The sequence below is a fragment of the Homo sapiens genome, chromosome 7 (genome assembly GCF_000001405.40).
Source record: "Homo sapiens chromosome 7, GRCh38.p14 Primary Assembly".
In the NCBI taxonomy this organism is placed as follows: Eukaryota; Metazoa; Chordata; class Mammalia; order Primates; family Hominidae; genus Homo; species Homo sapiens.
Window position 1 is genome coordinate 147,393,185 of NC_000007.14, and position 21,238 is coordinate 147,414,422.

Here is a 21,238-nt window from a genome sequence, read left to right on the forward strand (position 1 = left end):
GAAAAAAATTAATGAATATGTAGTATTTTGTCCTATAATTATCTTCTCCTAGAATATATCTCCTATTGGAAAATAAAAGGACTTAACCACTTCAAACTTCAAAATTACCAAGATCAAACAGAACATTGTTATAAGCGAATGATGAATTCTTGTTTTACAACCTTAATTATACCCAATTTGTAGTAATCGGTATTTATGCAGCTGCTGTGCTTCAGAGCAGCTTTTATTTTCACACATACATCCATTCATTTTGAAATCTTTCAAAGCTAGTGTGGATATGGTGAGACTCCCAATTATTCAAAAAAAAAAAAAAAACAGAAACAAATGACAGTCTTCTTAAGAGTGGTCAGTAAGTTACAACTGGGTGTTTTCTCTCTGCTAAGTTTAGACATTACACTCTATTCAATTTTATCTTGATTAAACAATTGAAAATCATGTGTGCACGCAACTGGTATAAACAGATCATTTACCTAATATCAGCATTTTTCTGAAGGGACTAAGTCAATGCGAATGAAAAAAATGTGGTTGACTAGAAAATACACATACACACACACACGAGCCATATATTAACATTAAAGTAGAGCCTTACATGGATTTTTTTTAAGTCAAGAAGTTAATTCAAATACAATCTTATTTTTATACAGTACTGTGTTAATAGGAAATAATATATACCTTTGTGATTAATCCTTATAGGAGATTCAAATGACAGTTATTGGACTTTAAATATTGTAATCCATTAATGAAGAGAAAAAGAAGATTTCTGCTCTACTAAAATACTATCCTTGGTCAAAAAGAATAGGATATTTTGAAAATGTCACTTAATAACTGGTATGGTTTGGCTGTGTCTCCACCCAAATCTCATCTTGAATTGTAGTTCCCATAATCCCTGTATGTCATGGGAGAGACCCACTGGGAGGTAATTCTATCATTTCATAATAGTGAGTGAGTTCTCATGAGATCTGATGGTTTTATAAGAGTCTTTTTCCCCACTTTGCCTGACACTTCTCCTTGCTGCTGCCCTGTGAAGAAGGATGTGCTTGCTTTCCTTTCTACCCTGATTATAAGTTTCCTGAGCCCTCCCCAGATATTCTCAACTGTGAGTCAATTAAACCTCTTTTCTTTATAAATTACCCAGTCTTGGCATGTCTTTTTTAACAACATGAGAACAGACTAATATAATGGCCATTTTTTGTTTTTATTGAAAATTCACTTTTATCCATTTAATGGAACTTTGGTTCCATCCCATTTTATATAAATTGTTTGTTGTTACAGATATAATATTAGATGAAGTGAATGTGTCAATAACTTCAGATTTGCAAGCAGACAAATTAGTACAGTTTAAATTTGCCCAGTAGGCAGATTTGGTATGGTGAACCATATGAAAAGTAGAAGCTCTGGGGACTTTCTGGAGATACTTAATGGGATTGAAAAATATCATTTTCTTATGGCCTACAAATTTTCCATCCATAATGGGTGTTTCTATCCAATTATGCATGTTTCTCTTAAAAAGATATAATAGTAATTGATTGGTGGTGATCTCTTAAAGTTATTTAGCAATAAACTCTTAATGTCTGATTTCAAGGTTGGTGTGGGCATTCTATTTCCTAATAGAATCAACAGTATTGTGTGTGTGTGTGTGTGTGTGTGTGTGTGTGTGTGTGTGTTTACTCTTGTTATTTACTCTTTTAATTTTAGTTCTATCTGTTATTATTTACTAGTATATATACCATATTATGGTATTTTATATATACCATATTATGGTATTTTATTTATACCATATTAGATAGTTTGTAGAAGATGTATATTCAAAGTAGGGTGGCTGACCCTTATGCCTAAATTTATTTGCTTCTAATGTTCCCTTAGATTTTATAAATTAAAAAAAGGCATCTATAATGCAAATATCTCTTTGTAATGAGTTACACACTAATCTACTTTATTTCATAATAGTAAGTTTGGCTTATTTGACATCTGAATAACAGGCAATAGGGAATTAAGAAAATAGAAATAAATATCAAAGAAACAAGAAGAAGAAAGTTGGATAGTTGGGAAAGTTCTAAAGTTTTGTGTCCTAATCTCTGAGGGCTGGCTCAGCAGAGAAAGAATAACAGTGAGTCTTTGACAGCAGAGGGACAGAAAGATGTGACAGTGAGAAAGATGATGTCAAAAGAGAAAATTTGAGTGACAGTAGACCCCAGAGGCAAACATTTACCTGGTAACCCATTACAATTCAACCCTGACTTCTTCCTCTGTAATAATCTCACTTTCTCAAAAAACTTCCTTTTTCTACACTGAATATAACATCAGCAAGGATTAAAGAAACAGTAGTTGGATGTGATGGCTGTGGCCAGGTAGAATACCCACAAGAATTTTAGTGAAGGTTATACTGTACACCAGATTTACATTCCCATTTCTTCTGTTTCACAGGTTTTCTGAACCAGATGAATAACTCAAGTCACTCTGTCCTTCAGCCTTCATTCCAAGGATGCATGCAGCTCATTCAAGTGGACGATCAACTTGTAAATTTATACGAAGTGGCACAAAGGAAGCCGGGAAGTTTCGCGAATGTCAGCATTGACATGTGTGCGATCATAGACAGGTAAATGATCTTTTCATCCTACCTCACGTTGTCCAAACTTTCCAAACCTGTGTTTCTGTTGTGAGACCAGTGAAACATCCCAAAAGAAAATTAAAGTTAAAAACAGGTAAGGTGGAAATTACCATTCAAAGTACGTATTGTAGTATACTTGTGATATTAGCAGTGATTATGTTTATGTTTTTATGTGGATATATATATCATATATCTATCATGTATATCATATATAGCATATATATGCTATATATGAGATATATCCTATATGTGCTATATGAGATATATCATATATAACATATATACATATATATGTAGCATATATATGTATATATAGCATATATGAGATATATTGTATATATAGCATATATATGATAAATATATATGAGATATATCATATATATATATAGCATATATATATATATATGTGATAAAACACACTGTGGTGTTATATTTGTTCAACAGTCTCCAATCAGAGAATCTGAGCCTTCAATAAGTAGTTTTGCAAGCAACAGCAGTGTGGCAGAGAAACTCTGACAGTTGATTTTTAGTTTACAGCAGAAATGTGCCTTCTCTTTCTGTCTCAATCATGACTTGGCCTCAGCATGTGCCTTCCAAAACCCGCTTCTGAAAGAAAAGGAATATTACAAAAGTGTCAGTGTGCAAGATGGGTATTTATGAAGCAGAATATTTAGAGTAACTGGTTCAGCTTACAAAATACACCTATTAAAATATGACAAAAATCAAATCTTTATTGGTTTTGCAAACCTGGGGAGAAATTTTTAATAAAAACTTTAATTGTATTCTCACACAGTGGGAAGATGCAACTTTTCTGTGAAATATTATGATTATACTGCATACACTACCTTAATATACTTCTAGATAGGGCCTGTCATTCCACTATGAACAAGTTTCATTTTGAGATGCTTTGTCTGTAAACAAATTATATATGATTTGAAGTTAACCTAGTGAATTTATATGATTTTCTAAGATATATTGAAGTCTTTTGAGGAAGAACTGTCTTATCCTAAAAGCTCATTTTATTAATTTTGTGTTTAGGGAAGATGAAAGTTCTTTAAATTTTTTTAAAATTTTGAACTAAGATATTAATCCTATCTCAGTCTACCCACAACAAAATGTAGACCATAAGTCTTTAACAAATGTATTTTATTCAAGAGGAAATACTTTAAGAAGTCACTCAAAAATGAATTTTACAAACATATAAAATAATCTATTTTGAAGTAAGTTTGCTTTCATAAAATCTGAATAAGATGGCGTTCGTGTGAATGGTAAGTTACAGTTTGTGGTGGCTGTAAGATAGAACTTCTATAAAGCCTTCACATGTTTATAAGAAGACTTTATGACATAGTATACTGCTTATTTCTATTCATGTATGCAAGTACTGATCTTAGTAGCCTAAACAGTTTATATTTAAATAGAATAGTGAACAATTTTAATGGAAATATACTCCTAATTATTGAGCCATTAATAATGTATCAGCTATTATTTCTGCCTAGAGCAAGTAGCAGCAATAATCAGAAAAGCTGAGATGAATGTTTTAAAGATCATTTGTTCTGATTTTAGATAATTATCTACATATTGTTTTGTACAGAAAAAAATATTTTCTTCATAATAGTTATGGAGTTTTTTAGTATCTACTCTTTTTTTCAGGTCAGTAATTGTGATGATACAATAATTTCATTACCTCTTTCAGCTTGGTAAAAGGGCTAGGTAATATGTTGCTGTTTCTCTCTAAACATCGTGTTTCTAGGCATTATATATAAATTGTTTGCTACTAAAGAAAGAGGGGTGATATGTTGAGATATTAATGTTTTACTCTGATAGAGACAGGAGTTAAATTGGTCCCAAAAGAATGAATGGGATTTTGGTAAATTAATAAAATGGAAGGTGATACTCCTGGTGGGGAGACCAACACAAGGGAAGGTATAGAAAAGAAAATACAAGTTTCAATTTTTCACAGATACAGAGATACACAAAATTTTTTTTTTTTTTTGCCAAAATAGGTCAGGCCCAATATTCATCTTGCCAAGTTTCCTGCAGCTAAAAGAACAAAGTTCACACCTTTCTTATTCTTTAGGATGACAAATGAAAAGATTAGCTGCAGGGAAGTAGCCACCTGTGACACATCTCCACGCATTTTCTAAACCCATTATGGGACCTATTTTTAGCTTACACTTTTTTTTTAAGGCAACAACATCTGTACATTAAATACCAATGTGTGAAACAGCAGATTCCTTTAGTCACCTAAAATGTTCCCAGTTCAAAATCTTAAGCATGAAGTGTTGTACTTTCATAGGTATGAGACAGGACTATTTTACTTAAACCACTGAAGAGTGTATTGATGATATCACCCTTAATCTGTGTCTTTCCAGGTAAAAGTACCAGTGGTTTTAGTCTGTCCTCATAGAGCAGTGATGTATCCAGATAATCCTTTAATGATACACCCCTAGCACATCTCTGCTTCTTTCTCCTCGCTGAGACTTTGCAACTGCCCCGTATCTACAACTTTCTTTTCAGATTACCCAAATTCTCCCAAAGGAAGCCTACAGTGGCTTTTCTTTTCTCCTTCCCAGTTCCAGCTTGATCGATTTGAGAGTTATTTTTGAGAGGGAGAAAAAAAAAAGTATAAATGAGAACATAGGGTAAAAAAAATAAAAGAGCTACACAAGCCTGACTTTTATAGAATGTTTGGAGATAATAGTCACAGCTGCAATGATTTGATGAGTAGAACTTAGGGAAACAATTTGTCTGAAGGTGTTTTTCTGTGTGTTGTATTGGAATACCCTACGATTTGAACTTTTTTTTTTTTTTTTTTTGCTTTGTGTGTAGATTTGCATGTGGCTTATTTTGTTCACGTGCTTATTTTCTGAACGCAGCTTTGAATCAAGGAAAAAGCAAGCTTGCCAAGCTACAGAATTATGCATTCAGTATTTATTTTCTGAGTGCATACTAGATGTCATGCTATTCTAGGCACTTGGAATAAATCCTTGAACAGGACAGATAAAGATTATTGAAAATTCTAAGCTGACATGGTAGAGGGAGGGGAGGAAGGAGAGATGACAAACTCTAATTAAAAAGTAAATAATCTAGCAAGTGAGAAGGAATAAATTTTATGGGTAAAAATACTAGAACAAAACAAGGAAGCCTGGCATGTCAGTAGATCAAGGTGTTGAGTTGTAGTTTAAATAGGTTGACCAGGATAAGCCTCCGTTGAAAAGATAATATTACTGCAAGACTTGAAAGAGGTAACTGAATGTACTAATGCAGGGAAAGAACATTTGACCCAGAGAGCACAGGCAACGAAAGAGGCACTTGCATGATCCAGGATCAGTATGGAAGCCATGGTGGCAAGTTTCGGGAGGTCAAGAATAGTTGAAGGAATAGACGCCAGAACAAGCCCTCCAGACTTGTAGGTTATTGTCAGGGTGTGGCTTTTACTTTGAATGAATACAGGAGCCATTTGCAGCGTTCTAAATAGAGCAACATGATGTACTCACGTCTTAAAAGGATGAATCTGGGCTGTGGGAGCAAGAAAGGTAGAAGCAGGAGGCTAACTAAAATTATGCCATTATAATCCAGGTGAGAGACGCGTGTACCCTAGACCAGGGTGCTAGCACAAGAAGTAGTGAGATGTGGCCAATTCTGAATATATTTTGGAGGCAGAGTCAGTAGGGTTTCTTTACAAATTAGATGTGGGGTATGAGAGAAATGGAGGAAATAGGGATAAATCCAAATGATTTGCTAAGAACAGCAGGAAGAAAGGAGATGCCATCTCTTCAGACTGGGAAGACTAGTTGTAGAGAAAATTAGTCAAAGGGGCTAAAGAAAAAGTCAGAAATTCAAGGTTGGACATGAATTGAAATGTCTACTGGACGTCTAAGTAGAAATGTCAGGAAGAGAGTTGGATATATGTATGTAACAAGCCTGTGTCTGCAGGTTTACACAATAAACCTTTGTGATTGACAGAATCCCTTTTGTTTAACTCTTGAGGGTCTTTGGTGTCTTTAGTTACATTTTATAAGCAATCATAGAACTGGAAGGGGAGGTGGTGGATAATGGGCAGAAATTGCTCTCTAACAATGGAAGCTGCTAGCTTGATTCCCTTAGTGATAATCTGCTCTTAGAGAGGAGGATTGTCATCAACCTTCAGTTTCCAAAACATTCTCTGAGAAAGGTAAAATACCCAGAGATAACATTTTTGTTTCTTCTTGCATTGTTACTCTCTTTTACTCATTTCTAGAACCCTTGCATTATTGACTGCTTGTGGCAAACATCTTAAGATGCCTGACTCAACTCTTATTCTCAATCTTTTTCTCTCCAGCCTCTTTCCAGGTGTGAAAACCTGAGAGCCCAAACCTTCAGAAACACTCCTTTAGCCACAGTTAGGTCCACTCACTTCTTCCTTCAAGAGAGAATCACAAGGAGAACCATAGGGCATCTCAAAGTTGGGGAGAGGGGGTGCTTGGGGAGGGACGGACATTGAGGGAGAGTCAGGGAGGGTATTAGGGGATGGAGTGAGTCAGTCCTTGTTGGTATTGGCTAGAATTCCTAAACTCGGAGACTCGCTACAACAGATCTGATAGTTGGCCTCAGAACTTGTGAATTGTTGTAGAATTATTGTTTGACCTGTTTTTCTGTGGTTGTAGCCAGGACACATGGTTAGGAAGAAGCTGATGTTAACATATTTTGAGCTTAATTAAGTGGTGATCATGCTTGGTTTGACAATTTTTTTTTCTGTTTTGTGAGTAATAGTGAAGTCCATTTTGCAACTGTGGTTTCTGTTTCAGTCCTAAGAGCACTCTTCACAGCTCAGCTGCCAGAGGAATGTTTTTTACTTTATGCTAGGCAGAAGCAGAGATGAGACACAGTTCTGGCTGCTAAGAGCTAAGCAGAAGTTAGCTGTGGTGTTCTTGGGAAAGCTTTTGTTCTCCTGATACAGTTGCCCCTCTTGCTCTCCACCATCCTTGGTAAAATGTAGAACTGATGTCTAGAGCTGTAGGGTCAAGAAAACCATAGATCGAGCAGCCACTGATACTAACTTGTATGTGAAAAATATCAACTATCACTTATCTAAGTAATTATGAATTAAGTTTTATTTTTCTTGGAGCCAAAAGCACCTGCCCTTTCCCTAGTCCCCACTTCTAAAATTAACCAGTACCATCATTTTACCAGAATACAGAAGAACAAATTCCTAAATATGGAAATGACTTTGAAAGAAAAGATAATACTTTTTGGAGTGTATTAAGTTGCATTTTAGTGATGTCCCCTAGAGGTTGAAATCTGGGGACTAAATAGCTGTTTAGAGGCCAAAGCAAATTCATATTGTTAGAGCCAGCACTAGTAAAAAGTGACTCATTAGAATTAGAATCTCCTCTGCTCTTTCCTGTCTAACTCCATTGAAAATATATTAAAAAATACATTTAGAAACAAAATCAGTAAACATCCCAGATAACACAGAGAGCGGAAAAGGAAATGCAAATTGCCCAACTTAAACATAGCCTACAAAATTACCACTTGAGAAATTATGAATAGACTAGATCCTATTCCAGAGTTAGTAATTAAGTCTTCATTATATTTTTGGATGAAGTACATAATCACAGACCCAGTTTTTTTTTAATTCAATGCTTTATTTTCAAGAATATCCAGTTTGATTTTTTTCTTTCAAAGAAAAGAATAAGTAAATGAATTTTCATAAGAACATTTAAATGAGGATTAGGTAGATACATGAAAAATATCTCAAAACTAAATTGACTCTGTTGGAAAGGCGAATGAAAGCAGTCAAGAAGGATGATATGGTTTGGCTCTGTATCCCCACCCAAATCTCAAGTTGATTTGTAATCACCATGTATCAGGGAAGGGGACTGGTGGGAGGTGATTGGATCATGGGGGTGGATTTCCCCCTTACCGTTCTCATGATAGTGAGTGAGTTCTCATGAGATCTGATAGTTTAAAAGTATGGCACTTTCCCCTTCACTCACTCTCTCTCCTGCTGCCATGTAAGATGTGCCTTGCTTCCCCTTTGCCTTCTGCCATGATTATAAGTTTCCTGAAGCCTCTCCAGCTGTGTGGGACTGTGAGTCAATTAAAACTCTTTTCTTTATAAATTATCCAGTCTCAAGCAGTTCGTTATAGCAACGTGAAAATGGACTAAAACAAAAGAGGTCATGAGTTTCTACAAAAGCAGGCTTAAATTTTGCGTTCATAACTTAGATGAAGAAAACATGTAACATTTATCATTTTCTAAAATTTGTCTTCATTCGCTAATTCCCTATTTCTAGTCAGTAGCAGAAAAGATAAATACTTGAACACATACATTTTGGTACTGTAATCACTCCTCCTTTCCGTGTATATTCGGTCAACATGGGAGTTGATCTCAGTCAAAGGTAAACTTCCTTTTGTGGTTGTACTACCATTTCAAGAGTTCTAGATGCCCTAGCATGGCTTGGGTCAGAGTCAGCTTATGCAATACGTTATCACCACAGGGGTGGGATCTGTCCCACCTGCTCCACCAAGGTTCCCTCTGAGCTCCCTGAGAGTCCCCAGCCTGGTCGGCCTTCAGGGTCCCACTTCTGTCCCTGCCACCCACTGTCATGACAACTGCTCCTTCTGGCCTTCAGATATGTCATGGGTATTGCTGGACTTAGGTTCTGGGATCTGTGTTTAAGGTGACAGCTATTCCCAGCATGTCTGAGTCCCATTTGGTTTTAGCATTGAGAGTCCTGCTTCTGGAGAAACCCCTCAGTTCTGGGTAAATTAGGATGGTTGGTGACTATACACACTAGGTCTTCTTTCTCCTAATACCTTCGTCTGATCTACCAGCCATCTAAGCATTTTATAGGCCCTATAGGGACACACAGTGATTTCTATATCTTTTGGAGACTACATAAAGCTGAAATAAATCATGGCATATGTGTTGTTGGGGAGAGGTTAGGCATTAGGGACAGCTTCCTTAGGCTACGCCCCCTTTACTTCAGCATGCCATCCCTCCCTATCTGCTCTACACAGCCACTCAGGCTGACATGAGGCCCTCTACACATTAGACCCTCAAAGGCCATCATAGGATTCCTAAGTCTCTGCTGTATAAACCAAATATAAAATTCTAAGCCATCATACTGACTGATGAACCCTCCCCTTAGCCAAAGACATTCCAAATAATCCTGAAAAAAAAAAAAAAAAAAACTAGTTTAGGTCAGACATGCCTCACAAACATCAACACAGAGACCTTAAGACTGATAGAATAGTCTCTTTAAGTCTGATAAGAAACATCTACAATCCATTCTCTCTGAAGACTGCTACCTGGAGGCTTCATCTGGATGATCAAAGTTGGGTCCCCATGACTGCTTATCCTAACCCAGACATTCCTTTCTATTAATTCCATGTCTTTAAATAATAACTCTTTCAACCAATTGCCAATCGGAAAATATTTAAATCTACCTATCACCTGGGAGCCCCTGCTTTGAGTTGTCCCACCTTTCCAGATGGAACCAACATACATCTTACATATATTGACTGTTGTCTCATGTCTCCCTAAAATGTATAAAACCAAGTCACACCCCAACCACCTTGGCCACATGTCCTCAGATCTTCCTGAGGATGTGTCATGGGAATGTCCTTAACCTCAGCAAAATAAACTAAATTGATTGAGACTTCTCTCAGATTCTTTTTTGGCTTAGGGTTGAGATTTATTCAGTCAACAAATACTTCTTGAAGATCACACCAACCAGCAGACAGTACCTCCTGGGACTGAATGCTGAGGTGACGAAGGGAGGGTGATTGATCAGACTCTACACTGTTTTAATGGTTGTTTGGCTTTTATGTCTTAACACTTACAATGCCTCTGTTTTGCTCTCAAAAATATAGCTTTTTCCAATCAAAAGCTACTTGGTTTTAGACTACTTTTCCAAAATTAAATCCACATGTTTCTTAATTTTCTGTTTCAGTCCAGACTCTAGAGGTGAATTATCCCAGAACCTACTTTATATGATAATTGTATAACCATTGATCCACTGGTAAGACAGCCATAGAGTAAGAAAAAAAAAATTTTATTAGTGTTTCTTTAGTGATGGTTTTTATGACAGATTTCCTTTCTCTTTCACCTGAATCTTGCTGACTCCAAACTGCTACCCTCTAGGTCGGACACCTCCTTTTTTCATACATTTCCAGGTTGACCATCTCCTTCTCTTTTTTTCTTTAGAAATGTTAATGTCATCATTTAAGCTGGCGTCAAACTGTGCAGGCATTTCTCTTACTTTGGGAAATATTTTGTCTTTTACCATTAGGTGCTTATTTCATTACGCATACTGTAGGCTTCTGGAAATACCTTACTTTCATTCATGATAATTATTGATAAGAGGTAAAGGGGGCAGAAAGTCTCCCAGATAAATTCACGTTATTCAAAACTCTACATTTGCTCAATCCTGACATCGTTGTGACTGTGATCCCATCAAACTACAAATAATCAAAGAACAGGTTGGCTGAAGCTAATTCTGAAAGAACTTGAGCCAACAAGCAATTTTTCATAAGTGAAACTGGATTTCCTTTTAGAGACTGTGCTTCGGACAAAAGCTCTTGCGTCCTAAAACCTAATCCCCAACTTAAACATATAGAAAAACGTCAGTTTTCTCATGGGGTCATCCTATTGTGATTCTTTCAGGTAGATACGTTCATCTTGTCCCTTCACCTTAACTCGGTTTATTTCCCATATTGGATTCCACTGATTTTTATGTTGCAAATCGCTATGCTCTATCTTAGTTTCTGATAAATGAAACTACTGGCAATTTCTGAGAAGTCCCATTTCATCATGCTAAATCTGACTTATTCATAATATTAGATGTGTGACTCTTTATTTAAACTTTATTGGCCTTCCATGCTAACTCCAGTCTTTCATTTGATCTTTAGCTTCCTTTGGTTTCTTTTAGAAGGGAGGAGCTTCCTGTTTATACATAAACATTTAAGCCATGGGCATCTTTCTAGCACAAAAACATCAGCTCAATGACCTAAAAGTATCACATACCCAGGCGAACCCATGTTCAAGTCAGTTGCCTCTCTGAAGTGATTTCAAAGTGATTTTATTTTAAGTACAAATAGAATACTAGAGTGACAAAAACATATTCTTTTTTAAAAAAAGGTAGTGAAATGCCAGAGGAGATAACTCTCCTAAGAAATAAAGGAAAAGAAAAAAGTTGAATTAGCCATTTTAAGATTCAACAGCAGCTGTATTCTTCTTTGATGCATTGCATGTATTAGGACAAAAGAAAACTATATTTGCTTTTGGCATGGCATATAGCTGTGCTTTGACATTTAAATCCCAAGGAAGGCTTAGTGCATTAAAGTAATGTCAGAAAAACAGTTATATGTTTGAAGATAAGCAGAAAGGAAATAGATAAATAGTTTTAACATGTAGCTAAATCAACTACGGAGAGATTTAAATAAGCCAATCGATTTTATTTCTTGCTTTTGATATCATATTACCTGCAAAATAAAAATAAGAGCAATTGATTTTAAAACATTTAAAATATCTTTCTTAACAAGTGCTTTCTTCTTAAAATAATTGTTTTTGTCAATTACTTGAATACATTGCAGTTACGATTTCACACTAAGAATTCATTTAACTGCTCTCCCCTAAACCAAGATTACAGACTCATGGACATGTACCATTCTTTTTGTAAAATATTGGGACTGATACAACTTAATGAAGGGGAAGTTGGAGCTTGTAGGACACTATCCTTCATTTGCTATATGCTCCCTAACATGCTGTGTGGGAGTCAGTTGTTCATTCCTGAAAATGCATATGCAAGTCATACTTGTTACTGTAATAACATGGTTTAATTAAGTACTAAGTACATTTTCAAATGAGCAGAGACAGAAAAAAGTTTCTGGTAAAATCAAATGTAAAAGTTTTAGAAAGACAAGTGGCTCAAAACAAACACAAAACCATAAGTTTATGTGTGGGCCTAGACAACTGTAAACATTTGCAGAGATTCATAAAGCCCAAGGTGAACTCACTGAAATTCATTGGCGATTTTAGTTTTCGCTGCACTTGAAACCAAAACTGAAAAATGAAGGTGATACTATATGGAAATGGTTTGATAAAAAGGCCGGTGGATTGAACTACAGACTTCAAATAAGTCTTCAAAAAAGTCTTTGGGTGAACTCACACCCAAAGGCCCCAGAGTAATTCCCTCTAACAACGAGTCATTGAGGTGACATAATGTAGGTTTTCAGTTAAATTAAAATGGTTAAGGTGTGTATCTTTTTAATGACATTTCTTTACTGGATTTCATTAAACCCAACATATTGAAGACTTGTATCATTCCCCAATCTGAATAAAAGGAGAGTTCATTATTTCTTTTTGCTTTCTCTTTTTGAGGAGTCTTTGCATTCCAAATACAGAGAAAAAAGAAAAGGAAAGGAGAGGAGAGGAGGGGAGGAAGGACAATCTGTTACATCACATTGTTATCTGGTTTATTAGTATAAGACTCTTTTACTTTCATTAAATGTCAGGAGTAAAAATTTACAATGGTATTTATTATAGCATTTGAAAATAACATTTTGTTTGAATTTTTTTCTTTGGTATTTAAATGATCTATAAGCTGAAAAGAAGAGGAGTCATAGATTTTTCTATGCCAAGAAAAAAACAGTTTTAAAAAGATGAAGTTGTCATTTTCATTTTGTTTGATTAAAAACACATATTTCCATTTCCTCTTTGTATTGTTGTATCTATACTGCCCAAAAACTAGTTTTAAGAGGGCAACAAGCTTAGTTTTTCAGATAGCATTGTCTAAAATTCTCATGGCACCCATTGCTATATTAGAGATAAGTACTTTGTTGTCTTTGCCTATGAATTCATTGAGGAATATTAGAGTCTGAATCTTGTTTTGTTTACCAAATCCTGCTTACATCAAAAAGAATGTTACATGAGTAAGAAAGGAATGCAGATGGAAGGGGTGAGGAGTATGTGTGTGTTTATTTGAAATGGTTTTGAAAAATGAGTCTGTAATAAATTTTAACAAATTACGGTATCTGAAAAGGGTGTCTTAATCAGTAAACAGGTTGATTTAAATAGACCATTATCTACAATTGTGATCAGGGTAAAACCACTAAGTACCATACAACATTTGTGTATAGCATTAACTTTGTTTGCCTTCAACGAGTCGCAGCTGTTATACTTTTACTGTGATAGTTTCATGATTTTTGCTTCTTTGGCATAGTCCCAGACAGGCTTCATCAACAAGAAACTTATCTTCATGAACACACTTCAGTGAAGACCCCCCCCTCTGGGAAATTAGACATGACATAAAAGTGCATTGCTTTTTTAAAACACTTCAGGCATTTGAAAATTACAAGAGAAATTTTCAAGTGGCACTTCCTAAGTTAGAAATACCATACACATAAGGCCGGGTGCAGTGGCTCACGCCTGTGATCCCAGCACTTTGGGAGGCCGAGGCGGGCAGATCACGAGGTCAGGAGATCGAGACCATCCTGGCTAACATGGTGAAACCCCGTCTCTCCTAAAAATACAAAAAATTAGCCGGGCGTGGTGGCGGGCGCCTGTAGTCCCAGCTACTCGGGAGGCTGAGGCAGAAGAATGGCGTGAACCCGGGAGGTGGAGGTTGCAGTGAGCCGAGATCATGCCACTGCACTCCAGCCTGGGCAACAGAGCGAGACTCCCTCTCAAAAAAAAAAAAAAAAAAAAAAAAAAAAAAAAAAAAAGAAATACCATACACATGAAGGCAAGTTTCTCTCACATAGTTATTATAGGACACTTGTTAATCTCCTATGAAGGTCAAGGCCACTGGTACTAAACTACACAATGAGAAAACCAAAAGTTACAGGATAGGATCTCTTCTCCCAGAACAGGTACTGATGTAGCCTAGAGACAGTAAACATTCACAAGAAATGTTAAAACTATGTTAAGAAGCATGTAAGCATTTGCTTCTTAATTGTTACAGATAATGATTTCTATAGAAAATTAATAAGAGGAATAAAACCACTATCAGCTGCGTGGTTAATGAAAACCGCATAAAAGAAGTAGGTTGAACTTCAGAGGAGCATTAGCCTCGGATGATGAGAAAGAAAGGCAGGAACATGCCAGGCAAAATCAGAGGCATGAGCAGAAGTGTGGAGGCACAGATAACCATGTCCCATTTCTGAAACAGTCAAGAGATCATTTAAACTACAGCAACATGTTTGTATAGGAGAGTCATGGAAAAGTTGAAAAGATCTATTTTTCATTTATTCATTTATCCATTCATTCTACAATGTTTCATTGATTGCATACCATGTGTCCAAGGACAGTTTTAGCCTTGAAGAATAATTTGTAAACTTATGGATTCTACTTTCTTACTGATTTATGAAAGAGTTAGACATCAGAAAAAGCACACACACACACATACCCCATGGAATTGTTGGAAAAAAACACACAAACGCCAAAATCAAAGTATGCACAAGGGATCTTGTGCCTAATTCTCCCTGGGATCTAGGTTGGGATGGAGATGGCAGAGGAGCAGTTCAAGGCACATGCTATAGGCATTCCAGGGAGCTGGAAAGTACATGGGTGTGAATGACTTGAGTACGTGCAGTAAACTCAAGGATTTACAGTAGGTTCTTTCACAGACTGGCAGCTACTAGTGAGGGAAGATTTGAAGCTAGGAATTTAGGGGGATCCTAATGAAAGAGGACCTTGCGGCCGGGTGTGGTGGCTCACGCCTCTAATCCCGGCACTTTGGGAGGCTGACGCGGGCGGATCACGAGGTCAGGAGATCGAGACCATCCTGGCTAACACGGTGAAACCCTGTCTCTAAAAAATATAAAAAATTAGCCAGGCGTGGTGGCGGGCGCCTGTAGTCCCAGCTACTCGGGAGGCTGAGGCAGGAGAATGGTGTGAACCCGGGAGGCGGAGCTTGCAGTGAGCGAAGATTGTGCCACTGCACTCCAGCCTGGGCGACAGAGCGAGACTCCATCTCAATAATAATAAAAAAAAGAGGACGTTGCATTACTAGAAAGACTGTAATTTATCCTTTGAGCAATACGCAGCCATTGAGGGATTTTCAGGAAAATCAAGTTTTGCATGACTAACACTTGTTCTGATTACCTGGGCAGAGGTGATGAGAAATGAATTACTGCAGTAGAACCAGGTGAAAAAGGAAATATCCAAGGTATTTAGGAGTTGGACTGAGGAGAGAGGGCTCATTAGATGTGGAAACCGGAAAAGGTATTGGCTAGAAAGAGAAACTGGTTTCAGAGTAAGAAAAGGCTTTAATGAAAGATTGTTATATTCACTAGTCTCCCCAAACAATGTCTTAACTGACTATTTGTTTAGTAGTGGGTCTACCGGTTAGGGTAAGATTTTACTGGGATCTGGAAGATGGTGAAAACCAGTAGCAGCAATTGAGCAATAGAGAGTGGTAAAAGAGAAAATTAAAATAGAGGCAGAATTGAGATAGAAGTGCAGGTACACTTAGAACGATCTGATCTTTGACAAAGCTGACAAATATAAGCAATGGAAAAAGGAATCCCTATTCAATAAATGGTGCTGGGATAACTGGCTAGCCATATGCAGAAAATTAAAACTGGACCCCTTCCTTACACAATATACAAAAATTAACTCAAGATAGATTAAAGAATTAAATGTAAAACCCAAAACTATAAACACTTTGCAATACAACATATGCAGTACCATTCAGGACATAGGCATGGGCAAAGGTTTCATGACGAAGACACAAAAGCAATTGCAACACAAGCAAAATTTGACAAACATGATGAAATTAAACTAAGGATCCTCTGCACAGCAAAAGAAACTATCATCAGAGTGAACAGACAAGCTACAGAATGGGAGAAAATTTTTGCAAACTATGCATCTGACAAAAGTCTAATATCCAGCATCTAATAGGAACTGAAACAAATTTACAAGAAGAAACACAATCCCACTAAAAAGTGGGCAAAGGACGTGAACAGACACTTTTCACAAGAAGACATACTTGAGATGAACCATCATGAAAAAAAAAAAAACCTCAACATCACTGATCATTAGAGAAATGCAAATCAAAACCACAATAAGATACCATCTCAGGCTAGTCAAAATGGCTATTATTAAAACGTCAGAAAATAACAAATACTGGCAATGCTTTGGGAAAAAAAGGAATGCTTATACACTACCGGTGGAAATGTAAATTAGTTCAACCATTGTGGAATACAATGTGGTAATTCCTCAAAGATCTAAAGACAGAAATACCGTTTGATTCAGCCATCCCATTACTGGGTATGTAACCAAAGAATATAAATCATTCTATTAGAAAGACAATCCATGCAGACATTCATTGCAGCCCTATTCACAATAGCAAAGACATGGAATCAACCTAAATGCCCATCAGTGATAAAATGTGGTACATATACACCATGGAATACTATGCAGCCATAACAAATAATAAGATTATATCTCTTGTGGGAACATGAATGGAGCTGGAGGCCATTATCCTTAGCAAACTAACACAGGAACAGAAAACCAAATGTCACATGTTCTCACTTATAAGTGGGAGCTAACTAATGAGAACACATGGACACATAGAGGGGAAAACCACACACTGGGGCCTGTCAGAGAGTGAAGGATGGGAGGAGGGAGAGGATCAGGAAAAATAACTAATGGGTACTAGGCTCATTACCTAGGTGATGAAATAATCTGTACAACAAACACCCATGACACTAGTTTACCTGTGTAACAAACCTGCACATGAGCACCTGAACTTAAAGTTAAAACAAAACAAAAACAACCACAAAGAAATGCAGGTAGTGAGATACTGGATTAAAAAGGAAAGCAGAAGATGTGCAGAGCTATACTCTCTAATACTGCAGCCACTAGCCATATGTGGCTATTTCACACTTAAAAAGCAGCTGTTCTAACTGAGACGTGATGTTAGTGTAAAATGCACAACAGATTGTGAATACTTCATACACACACAGGAATATAAGACAGCTCATTGATCATTTTTGTATTCATTTTATTTTGTGTTAAATAAAATATTAATATTATTGTCACCTCCATAAGATTTTAAGCTACATATGGCATGTGGCTCACAAGTTATTAATATTAGTGCTGTTCTGGAATCTTTCTCTAGGTAGTTCCAGCTGGATGCTGTATTGCAAGAATGAGTGCCCTAGCTTCTTTGTTGGTCTTGTCCACAGATGAGTAAAGAGATCCTCGCAACTTCTGATAGGACTCAACAAGTTGTCCTTTATAACTGTTTTATCTCAGAGACAATGCAGATCCCCAGAATGTCTGTGAAACTGGCATCATTCTGAAATCACAGTCCCTTTTCATTAGTTAGAAGTTTTCTTAAGCCTAAGTGTATTTGCAATACCATCTCCAGAGAATATCTTTACAGACTTAGAAGCCAGATGTGTTGGTTTTCTCCCAGAATATTAATTCCCTGTTCATTAAAAATAAAATAAGAAGTATTCAATGGGAAAAAAAATGTGGCCTAAATTAAGATGGTATTTTAATTGAGCACAAGTTAGAACTTTCCTGGCTCAAAGATTAATTTTTTCTAGTAAAGTATCTGTCAGTTACACAACTGTGTATAATTCATCATCCTTGAAGTGAAAGTTTGGGTCTCAGTAAGAAAGTGCTTTCAGCTGTTAGGAACAGAGACCCAATCAGTTTTCCAGGCAAATCTGAAGTTTATTTCTGCACATGTAAGATGTCTGAAATAGACAATTCAGGCTTTGTATAATATATCTAGAAAGCGATCCGAGACCCAGACTCAAACATTCTGCTCCAGTTTCCTTAGCTCATGGTTTCTATTTTCCCAGTGATTAAGATTGCTGCTAGAACTCCAGAAATTTCATCTGATTTTCATAAAGAAAGTAGGAGGGTCCACCTTCCGTTTTAAAAAGCCATTCCAGAAGTTCCGTGCAACATTTTCAATCATATCTCATTAGCCAGATTTAATCACAACCACAGAGTTGCAAGATAGACTGAGAATTACAGTTTCATTCTAGGTGGTAATATGCCTGCTAAAACTTTGAGGATTATCACTAGGAAGGAAGAGGAAAATCTGTAATGAGATAGATAGCACTCTCTGCCCAGTTGATGTTTCGAAAGATTATAAAATATAAATAGTAAAAAAGTGCATGCTTCCAGAAAAAAATATTTGATGCAGCATTTATCTTATTCAAACCATATATTTTATATTTTTCCTCCAAAAATTTAAAATATAGTTATCAAACTTCAGGCTTAGACAATCGACATTTTAGGGTATTCAAGAGTGAAGATGATCCAGCCTCCCTTCAAGGATTTCATAAGAGAGTGGCAGAGGTATCTAGTTCTTATTCTGACCTCCTACTCGAAATTCATCAGTAACTTCTTATTGCCCTTAAGAAAAAGACCCAGATCCTTAAAAGCAGTGTATTAGCCTCTTGTGGTCTGGCCTTTGTCTTCCTTTGCAGCTTCATCTCACATCACTCTCCTCCATCCCCTCTAGCCACGCTGGCCTGTGCTCAGTGCCTCAGATGTTCTTTCAGTGGGGCCCCTGCCTGTACTGATCTCTGGGTCTAGAATTGCTTCACCCCACCACCCATCTCTGTCTCTGTCTCTTGCTTTCTTATCCTTCATATCTCAATTCATAGATAAACTCCATTAGGGGAGCCATCTCAGGATCTGTAAGACTGGGTTAGGCACTTTTTAACCTGTTTATAATCACACATTCAAGACTGTAATTACATCTTTTCTTCTTCTAGACTTTGAGCTTCCCAAGAATGGGAAACAGGCCTGAGCTCATGCCCCACTGTGTCTCTGTGCCTAACACAGTGCTTGATACGCAATATGTTCTAAATACATTTTTTATAGAATGAATGGAAAAATATAATAGTAGCATAAAAAAGGACTATGAAATTATAAAGAAGGAAAAGAACAATTCTAAATGGAGGGATTTAGCAATGCTTTATGAGTGAAATAGAATTAAAACTGGTCCTTCCAGGACAGAAAGGCTCATATCAGATAATATAGGGCAAGGCTGTCTTGGAAAAATGGACTATATAAACTAAGGCATGTGACACAGCTGAAATAAGAAGTTGCCCAAAATTCTCAGAATGCCTGAGAAAACATTCTAAGAATTTATGCTTTAGTCTGTAGTCCAAGGAATTCATAAACTTTTGGAATGTGCATACATGTTTGTGGTTAAGTGTACACATTCCAGAGACACTGTCATCACATTTTGCCTGTTAGAATGGAAACTCGTGTCAACTCATTCATTCTTAAAACTCTCCTACCAGTGTCTTCCCACCTATCCTCTTCGAGTCAATGGTCAGAAAATTCTAGAAGTGCATACATCGGAAAAGAGTTTACTGGAAATAGTTTTAAAATAATGGCTTAGAGTCAAGGAATGCTCTACACCCTTCTACTTTGCCAGTGAATTGAGTAAGAAAACAGCTGGTTTCTATCGAAAAATTTACTGTAGAGTGTTTTCTTCATGGAGAAACTAGATTTTGGATGTCACGAGGGAATGGAAGCGTTGGAGAAAAGTATTCAAGGTAAAACAGTAGCTTGTTCCAACACAACAGGCTTTCCCCTAAGACAACACTCTCTAAAGAAGTCCTGGAAAGGAAAATGAGAATGTGGTAGGGCGGTTGATACAGATCAGTAAGGAAATGAAAGTCCAAAAGTTATTTACATGGTAAACATCTGTGCCAAGAGGAGTACTCTCAATAACAGGGATTAGTGAGAGAGCAGTTGGCTGGAGATGGAAGCTCAGGCAGGTGAGCGTGGGGTGCAGAGAAAAAAAAATGTATGAAGAATAAATCAATATTTTTTTGAGAATGAGTATTTTAGTTCAGTACTTCTCAATATTTTAGGTGCATACAGATCATCTGGGATCTTGTCAAAACAGGTTTGGCTCAGTGTGATTGAAGAGAACACTGGGATTCTGCTTTTCTAACAAGCTTCAAAATGCTGTTGCTGCAGCTGCTTGTGGGCCACATCTTGAACACAGCAGAGCTCCAGCCTCTGCATCTGGGCCCCCAGATACATGAAAAATGCAGCTCAGGTAGTGACAAAAAAGATCAGTGATGTGGGCCTTTGGTGTGTTATGGTTTATAAAACAGAAAAGCCTATTTTCTTTTCCCTTACCATTTCCAGGGAAAATAAAGTAATGGGGATGATGTAGAAATCACCTGAAATAGTCTGGCACAGTGCTTGCAAGGCTGTAGGAACCAACTGAAGTTTGCTCAAAGCTTTATGTACTTCTGTTTCTCACTTGTATCACCTGTTATCTTTGGAGTGTCATGTTTTACGTTACATATTAGCAATGGAAACAGAAAATGGTTTTTCAATCACTCACTGTGTCTATGCATAGAAAGGCTGGGCGCAGTGGCTCACACCTGTAATCCCAGCACTTTGGGAGGCCAAGGCAGGCCGATCGCTTGCGATCAGGAGTTCGAGACCAGCTTGGCCAACATGCTGAAACCCGTGTCTGCTAAAAATATAAAGATTAGCTGGGCTCTGTGGCAGGTGACTGTGATCCCAGCTACTCAGGAGGCTGAGGCAGGAGAATTGCTTGTACCTGGGAGGCAGGGGCTGCAATGAGCTGAGACTGTGGTATTGCACTCCAGTCTGGGCAACAGAGCAAGAGTCTGTCT

General features: G+C 37.0%; 1 protein-coding gene across 2 annotated transcripts in view; it reads left to right on the forward strand.

Annotated features, from left to right (window-relative positions):
- The window catches only part of CNTNAP2 (contactin associated protein 2), a 2,304,198-nt gene that overhangs the window by 1,276,384 nt on the left and 1,006,576 nt on the right, over positions 1 to 21,238 (forward strand). For both annotated transcript variants that reach the window (NM_014141.6, XM_017011950.3), the window contains exon 10: positions 2,425 to 2,596. In NM_014141.6, the coding sequence (NP_054860.1) occupies positions 2,425 to 2,596 (172 nt within the window). The remainder of the gene's footprint in view (positions 1 to 2,424; positions 2,597 to 21,238) is intronic.